This window comes from Homo sapiens, chromosome 5, assembly GCF_000001405.40.
Source record: "Homo sapiens chromosome 5, GRCh38.p14 Primary Assembly".
Taxonomy (NCBI): domain Eukaryota; kingdom Metazoa; phylum Chordata; class Mammalia; order Primates; family Hominidae; genus Homo; species Homo sapiens.
In genome coordinates, this window is record NC_000005.10 from 120,868,055 (window position 1) to 120,877,543 (window position 9,489).

Genomic DNA, 9,489 nt, shown 5'->3' on the forward strand with positions numbered 1-9,489 from the left:
TATTTATAAAATGGTCAGTTCAGTCATTATATATATTTATTTTTAAAAATTCTGTTAGATCTTTTAAAATGTTCGGTTCATAAATATTTTATCTTTTTGTTTATTTTCTTGAACAGAATAATAATTACTTTAAAATTTGTATCTGATAACTGTATTATCTGGAAGCCCTTGCAATCTGTTCTGTTACCTTTTATTTCTTACAAATTTTGTTCACATTGTTTTTTATCTTCAAATGTCTAGTCATTTAAAAATGTATGCTAGATTCTCTCTCTCTCTATATATATATGTATATATATATGCTAGATACTACATATATATGTATATATATATGCTAGATATTATATATATATATGAAAGATGATTTGAAGTCTGCAATGATGGTATCTTCCTCCAAAACGGATTCATTTTTCCTTTTTCAGGAGCAGAAGGGGCACTGAGTGGCATCAGCAATGGCAAATTACTATAAACCAATCAGAGAATGAAATGACTTAAAGCTGGGCTTCAGTATCATCAAAGGTCAAATTTCAATTACTTTTGGGTTTTTCTAGCCCCAAATCTGGAGAGAGGCTTTACCAGACACTGCCTTCTTTATGAGGCTTTTTACTTTGTATTGTACCATTTGCCTGTCAGCCTGTGGAAATCACTGCTCAGCCTCTCCGCATCTCAGCCACCTCTTTCAGAATTGTCAAATGCTTACAGGGGAGCATCAAGGTCATCTTTCTAGAGCTCCTTCTCCTAGATCTTGGCCCCATTTATCTCCACTTCCTTACTAGTTCTGCAGTGCCTTTATGTGCAGGTTTTTCTTTTCTCTGCTTTTTTAAAAAATTGTAACTTGCGTGAAGATTTATCCAAATTTCTTAGTTCATTATTAGTGAAGGCTAAAACTCTAGCTGACAATTTCATATCCAATTGAATTATCATTTAATATTGAGGGTGAAAGAAAGACATTTTCAGATAAAATACTAACAGGGTTTACCAACAGTAGATCCTGTTATAGTTGAATTGTGTTTCTCCCAAATTCATGTTAAAGCCCTAATCCTCAGTACCTTTGAATGTGACTGTATTTGGAGAGAGGGCTTTTAAAGAGGTGATTACATTAAACTGAGGCCATTTGGATGGGCCCTAATACAGTTTGACTGGAGTCCTTATAAAAAATGGAATTCTGCCCAGTACTTTGGGAGGGCAAGGCAGGCGGATCACCTGAGTTCGGGAGTTCTAGACCAGCCTGGCACACATAGTGAAACCCCGTTTCTACTGAAAATACAAAAATTAGCGGGGCGTGGTGGCACACGTCTTTAATCCCAGCTACTCAGGAGGCTGAGGCAGGAAAATCGCTTGAACCCAGTAGGCAGAGGTTGCAGTGAGCTGAGATCGTGCCACTGTTCTCCAGTCTGGGTGACAGGGCGAGACTCTGTCTTAAAAAAAAAAAAAAAAAAAAAGAAAACTGGAAATATGGACACAAAATGGACATCAGAAATAGACATTCACAGAGAAGATCATGTGAAGACACAGCAAAAAAGATGGCCATCTGCACACCAGGGGAGAGATTTCAGAAGAAACCAAACCTACCAACACCGTGGTCTTGAACTTATAGTTCCCAGAACTGTGAGAAATAAATTTCTGTTAATTCACCCAGTGTTGGTATTTTGTTGTGGCAGCCCTAACAAAATAATACAGACCCTTATAAAGGGAAGTACTAATGCTTTGACTCCTAAACATTTTCAGATCACAGCACACATATAAAATGATAATATTTTTGCAGTGTGTTGGCTTAAGTAGGTGAGGATACTCATGGCCAGAGATCAGCCCCAAGGCTACCCCTGTTCTAATCTCCAACAGCTATGCTAAGGGCTGAGGATATCAGTATCTCATGTACATCTGTAAGCCATTCTTGACACCCCTAGTGGGAAGCTCTTTTCTATAAGATAAACTTTAGGAAGAAATAAAATCATCTCATAAGGAATGTCTCAAATGAAAGAGAGGAAGTTTCTCTCTATACGTAAATTGAAGCCTTGGGCAGAGTTTCACAATGGCTATTTTTTTTAAAGCTTGTTGAACAGAAAGATACTAATCTAACTACTGACTTCCATCATTGAGCCAAACCTCAGTCTCCCTTATCACTTTCACCTTCCAGCCATTCTTTCCTGATTCTGCACCTGGATTCCAGCAAGTTATGAGGATGAATCTGTGAGTACAGCTCCATTCTCTGCTTTGAGTTTCTCTTCTGTCTTTGGAAACTACAAAAAATTTTTATTTAATATCTGATTCTAGTTTTGTTTCTGGTTTTCTCTTTTAATATTTTGCTTATGATTAGCATGTCTTTTGAACACCGGTAATATATATTGAGGGTGTGGATAGATGGTGACATCTTAATTAGATATCCAACATAGTTGTTATTCAAACAGTATTCAAGCTACTCTTTGCCCAAAATATTGTATTATGACCTACTGCATTAGGATTCATGTGTATCAGTTACTTTGTGGTGCATAGAAACACACAAATTTCAATTGCACACTTGAAAATTTGACATTACTGAAACTATTTAGTGACTATTTAGAAGACATTATTTTTACCTTGGAACAATAGGCACTAAAGTTTATTTTTTTCTGGTAAAATTCTGTTCCCCAAAATTTTAGTGCTGAGTTTAAACTTACTTAGTTTAAACCAGTGGCTATCAATTTTAGGGATAATTTTACTCTCTAGCCCAGAGACATTGGGCAATATCTTAAGACATACCTTTTGATTGTCATGCCTTGAAGTTGTTGGGTGGAGGACAGGGACACTGCTGTACATTACAATGTACAGGACAAACCCATACAATGAATATGATCCAATATTTGAACAAGAAATATGGTCCAAAATTTCAATAGTGTCAAATTTTTTAAAAGTCTTGTTAACACCTGTGAAACAATATTCAAAATTGTCTAATCAAAAGTTGTGTCTTGTTGCAATTTGTAATGTAATGTAATTTAATAATGTTTCAGCCTTAATTTTTTTCCACATATCTAGGTTGAATTTATCCACATACCTCTTGTTAGAATGGATAGTAGGTAGATATAAGAGAGAGGATTTCACCTGAAGTAAGGAGTTCGAGACCAGCCTGCCCAACATGGCAAAACCCTGTCTCTACTAAAAATGCAAAAAAGTAGCCGGGCATGGTGGCGGGCACCTGTAATCCCAGCTACTTGGGAGGCTGAGGCAGGAGAATTGCTTGAACCCAGGAGGGGGAGGTTGCAGTGAACCAAGATTGCATCACTGCACTCCAGCCTGGGCTTTTGTCGGAAAAAAAAAAGAAAAAAAAAGGGATTTACTTCCCAGTGCAGCACTAAATAAAGTCAACTGATAAACCTGTAATTTTGCCTTGTGTTAGTCCACTGGTATAAATGGCCCCAGGAGACAGAACTCTATTTGAAGATTTTTTTTTTTTTTTTTGAGACAAGAGTTTCACTCTTGTTACCCAGCCTGGAGTGCAATGGAGCGATCTCAGCTCACTGTAACCTCCACCTCTTGGGTAGAAGTGATTCTCCTGGCTCAGCCTCCCAAGTAGCTGAGATTACAGGCATGCACCACCTGCCCTGCTAATTTATTTTTGTGTTTTTAGTAGAGATGGGGTTTCACCATGTTGGCCAGGCTGGTCTCAAACTCCTGACTTTAGGTGATTCACCAGTGCATTAAAAGAACCCCCTACCTTTTTATAATTCTCTTCTACTAGAGTAAATTCAAGTTCATTTAGGACAGAGTGCACTAAATATTATCATATAACGTATGTGTTCTGAATATCTGCTATCTTATTGTTCTTTTTCTGCCTTTCTTCCTCTATAAATCCATATTCCAAATTTAGAACCAGTGTATGTATATATGTGTGAGTGAATATACACACACACACACACACACACACACGTGTCCCCAGCCAAATCACATGTTGAATAGTCATCCCCAGTATTGGAGATAGGGCCTAGTGGGAGCAAATTTCTCATGATTGTTTTAGTACCATCTTGTTGGTACTGTCCTTGCAATAGTGAATGAGTTCTCAGGAGATCTGGTCATTTAAAAGTGTGTAGCTCCTCTCCTCTCTCTCTCGTTCCTGCTTTCACCATAAGATGTGCCTGCTCCCCCCTTCACCTTCTGTCATGATTGGAAGCTTCATGAGGTCTCACCGTAAGCAGCTGCTACTATGCTTCCTGTATAGCCTGCAGAACTGTGAGCCAATTAAACATATTTTCTTTATAAATTACCCAGTCTTAGGTATTTCTTTACAGCAATGTAAGAACAGCCTGACATAGTGTGTGTATCAACCTAAAAATAGTATGATACCTTTTATTTCCCCTAAATTTCTTTTTTCTCCTACTTGCCCAAGACATTTTGGCCTGTTAGCTCCTTTTTCTTACACAATGCCCAGCAGCCTGGCCTTTCTACGCTTCTTCCCAAAATGCCTCTCTGACATTGTTCTCTATTACGTGGCTCTAACCCAGTTTCTGCCTTCCAAATTGCACAACCATAAGTTCATTTCTCTTTCTTTCTTGGAAGAAATACATTGATTCAGGTCTTTTTTTGCACATACTTTATTACATGCACTTTAATTGAAAAAATATTCATGTCCATTTTAAGAAAATGCCTGCCTGAAAAAAGAAAACCCTGAACAAAATACTTTGTTCTGTTTTTTTTTTCATAGAAATGAAATAAATGGAAGGAAAAAGAGTCCCAGATGTTTGTAGAGAGCATGTATAATTACACTGAGTATAAATGAGAAAATTCTAGCAGATACGTACATTGACTTCTGAAAAGATAAAGAGGCTTCTGTTTTCTTTATAAGTAAGTATTGAAAGACATTCATTTCCGGATAGCAATATCATATTATCACAAAGAATAGCCTCAAACACACATACTTAAACATTAAGATTAATATGATATTACTAAAAGACAGCATACCCACATATCCCCAATATGTTTTTTACATTAGGAAAGATAATTCACAGAAAACACATCTAACACACACCTGACAGACTCACACAAACCAAGCACACATACCCACAGATATAAACATGAATATGCACACACATTCTCTATATCTATACAAATATTTTCTTTAAATGGCACTACATGTTCTATACTCACTAACTTTTTTTTTCTATCATTCCCACTTATTTTTAGATAACATCTATACTTCTCTGCAATATTTTCCTCTTACAGAGTGACTCACAGGATTGACTGTGGTGTTCTGTCCCTGGCTTCAGTTCCTGAGTCTGGCAGGTTATTTAAGGCAGCACTATTTATCTACCAACCAAAGTCTTCTCACAGTGTAGCTGCATCTTTCATGCCAAAGGCATGGGCTCTCCTCAGGCGAAGTTCATGAGGGTGGCCTGAGCTATTATTTGTAGGTGGTATTTGTTCATTTTATTTTTGTTACATCAAAAAGTAGATTGAAACCAAGGTTTTGTTTTTTGTTTAAACATTTATGTGCTTTTATCCAAGTATACAAGTATATTCCCTACTTTTTCCAAGGAAGCAATGTTGTAGCCAGCAACAAATGTATACATAAAATTTTAACCATCTGTTATTCCTTTAACTAAACAATATCAAGATTAAAGAGACTACCAGTATTTTACAGGAATACAAGAATAAGCCTACTGTTAACAGAATAAAAAGCGTGTGCACATTTACACAAGGATAGCACTCATTTTTCTTCAACTTTTAGCAAACTGGTGAGGAAGAAAACAAACACTTTCTAAATGTTAAAAATTAAATTAAATTAAATCAGATTCACTAGAAATATGAGGTGTTTACATTGGACTTTGTGTTGCTTTTCACCATTTCAGACATGAGACATGTTCCTGTATGTGGCTTTATTCAAGCCGTTCTTTCCATTTGCTATATGTAATTATATATTGGTCATATTCATTTTGTAGAATTTCTTATAAATGTATTGCTAAGAATCAATCTTTCCAAAAGCAAGCATCCATTATTCATCTTCCAACCTGTCTTTAAGCACAGAGCTATGGCAGATAATTACCCTCTATCAATATATTATACAAAGAGAAGGCTACTGTTTACATGCATCAGCTGTGCTGTGCTCTCTTGAACTTATGCTTTTTTTAGGGGGTGCTACAGTTAGGCAGTGGAACAATGCAAGCTTCCAGTTTGACCAAAACATTTTAAAGAGAAAAAGTGTGATTTATGAAGTAGCTACTAAGAATGTGCCATCCAGTTATAGCCAAAATATAAAGTAGTATTTGTATTCCACAAAGGAATCTGTGATTAGGCAATTCCTGTAACTGATGTTTATTTTGCCACTTAATTCTGAGACAAACTGTTACCTCTCAAATGAATGCTGATGGAAATAAACCAAATGTGCTTTTTATTATATCTATTAATAGTTGAGTTCTACACAAGGTGATTTAAAAATTTGTTTCCTTTCTAAATTGTAAGTGTAGATGAAATTTATAGAATCAGTATTGTGGGACATATGTAAAGTTGCTTTGTCACTAAATATTTAGTGGACATGGATACTGGCATACTGGACTTCTTACCATAGGCAATTTCTGATGTCCTAAGGAATGCTAATCAATTTATGAACCAGATGTTACTTCCACATATGGCTTAGAAAGGCTGTAATCTCTATGATTGAAGACCATGAGGCTCTTCTGATTTTCAAGATAGGGTTTTTTAATGAATTTATCTTTATGGACACATTAAATTATGTATGCATGAGGCTCCTTCAACACATTTTTTCACAGAGAGCATGTTAAAGATTTTAGTGTAGCTTCAGCTTCCTAAAAAACTGCCAATAATACAATTATGGTAAAATTACCCTACAATCGTAATTGCTTCTTTAAAACATCACGTGTAAAATGAAAATTGTTTTAATGGGTAATACATACCATTAAGATCTCATTTTTGGAATCTATACTCAGTAAAGCCCATTTGCCAATATTGTTTGGTTCATATAAATTTTATTTTGAAGAAATGTTTTTAACTTAAATAAATTTTTCTTTCATTATAATTATATGAGAAATCCTATCAATATGAATAAACTCTAAAGATAAAAATTTAAATAAAAATAAAGACCAAACACTGACTTCTGATATCACCTTTATTATATCTCTTATTGACTTGGTATTCTGAGTTGTGTTGTGGTAATAGTAGTGGTGCTAAGAGAAGCTCTTACTTCAGTTAAAATATGACCTGTGATCCATTCAAAATACACATATTTATACTTTATCTGAGCAGATTTTATCTAAAAAGTAGCATATGAAAAACAGGTCCATTACTCATATCTACAAGACTTGTGACAAAAGTACAAATGGAGGCCCACATTTCAAATGTCTAAATACTTAAAATTTACAAGACTAGCCAACAAACTACTACATAAAATATGTTTTATCTTTCTCCCTCAACGAAAATACTTTTGTATTGACAGAATAAAAAATATGTGTAAAAGCTCTGGTTTTTATATGACTAAAAGTCAGCAAAATGCCAAAGGTGACTGTATTTAAGTATTATTTTACATGTTGATGCTCCAATAATTTTAATACCAAAATATAATCCTGTAAAATTTATAGATTATCATATAAACATATATTTCATAAAATTTATTTTTCTTGGCTTGATTGGAGTCCACCATTAAGTATGAAGCGATCATTCAATCTACTTTCCATAATTGTCTCCACTTTCTCTATCAACCTTTCTGGTATCCCCAAGGTCAAAACACTTTTCATCAACTTCTCCAGAAATAATCAACTTTCTTCCAGAATCCTTTTGGAGTCCAAGAAGAGTTAGAATGTTCCAGGTTTAAGACTTTAAAAGTCCTCACTTTTGAACTCTGCTGTAGTTACTTGCCTCCAGAGGTATCTGTTGTCTCCAATTACTGAGTAAGTCCAAGGTTCTTAATAAACATAGACCAACGTGGTCTTACCTCTTGATATGAAATAGTTTTATTTTTGTTAATTTCAAGTAATCTGTAATTTGTTTTGATTTCCTCTTTGATGGATGAATTATTTTGAAAAGTCTCAATTTCCAATTGGATATATATATATATATTTTTTGAGACAGATTTTAACACTGTCTCCCAGGCTGGAGTGCAGTGGTACAATATTGGCTCATTGCAACCTCCACCTCCCAGGTTAAAGAGATTCTCCTGCCTCAGCCTACTGAGTAGCTGGGATTACAGGTGTGCACCACCACATCTGGCTCATTTTTTGATTTTTAGTAGAGACAGGATTTCACCATGTTGGCCAGGCTGGTCTCAAACTCCTGACCTCAGGTGATCTGCCCACCTTGGCCTCCCAAAGTGCTGGAATGCAGGTGTGAGTCACCACGTCTGGCCTAATTGTATAATTTTTAAATAGTTATACATGGAAGCAAACATTAGGAATAAGGTGAGTGTGAAAGTAGTGGAAAGACACGGAGACCTCTGTTTTTGAGGTCTCTTTGGATGAGAGCAGAGGAGAGGCCATTCTCTCCCAACCACATGACCTGGGAGAAATTTTGCTCATCAGAGCTGCTGATGCCCAGTTGGATCCAGTGGCCTTCCAAAAGTCTCCAAAAAGTCTTCCAAAAGTCTTCCAAAATGGCTAAATTCAGGAGAGAGGCAAGTACTTTAATTCTCTATAGACATTAGGTGTTCTCTGGTCTGCACAGGCTGGGAATTTGCAATATTTTGCCTCAAAATCTAATTCATATTTCTTATTTCTCTAAGATAAAATATGGCAGCTGTACCCTGGAGAGATTTTGTCTTCAGAACAACAGATATCGTCTCTAGAATTTATCAAAAAGATCATTTTAGTTGTGTGGTACTGCAGTAAAGGATGGGAGAAAAAAGATCAATGATAATGTATGATCATACTGCTATAGAAAGTGTCAAATGAAATGCACAGGTGTGTTCAAAATTTAAAAATATACTATAGTTTAATTTTTTTATGAAGTCCAGTAGACAAAATAAATAAAAAATGATATGTTAGCAAACTTGCCATTGAAAATTCCTTGGGAAAGCACTATGTTGGTGACATACAGTCTTTTAATAACTCCAGCAAAACTAGTTGATGTTTCCCCATTGGGAGAACACATTAACGTTCTTTGGTTTTGTTTTGGTTAAAAACATGTTGAAGTCATTTGGCTACTATTTGGGGTCACGTTGTAAAATATACACCTTTAACCAACAGGATTATGCTAAACACAGGAAGATGCTCATGCTGAAATGCACAAGGGGATGAAGACTCATTTGGAAGATAGCAAATTTGTGTCTCCCATCTCATGCCTAAGCTTATGCAAAAAGGGAGTGATTTTTCCAACTATTTAAATTGATATTTTAGTCCCATTCACATCTTTTTGAAATGCAGTGTTGAGTTAGTACAAGTGAAATGTGTGTTCAGCTTGATGCCAGTTTGCTTCCTATGTTTTAAGTTAGATTTTGAAAAATTCTACCAACTTGCATGTAATTGAAGAATCCCACACTTACGGTGTGTCATAATGAAACACACTGGAAATTCATGT

General features: G+C 35.6%; 1 long non-coding RNA gene across 1 annotated transcript; it reads left to right on the top strand.

The window, feature by feature from the left end:
* The first annotated feature begins 433 nt into the window (after window positions 1-433).
* Window positions 434-5,010, top strand: LOC105379147 (uncharacterized). The gene is made up of 3 exons (XR_948710.2): window positions 434-516; window positions 2,135-2,187; window positions 4,673-5,010. It is a non-coding gene; the product is annotated as an uncharacterized LOC105379147 (long non-coding RNA).
* Window positions 5,011-9,489: the final 4,479 nt, after the last annotated feature.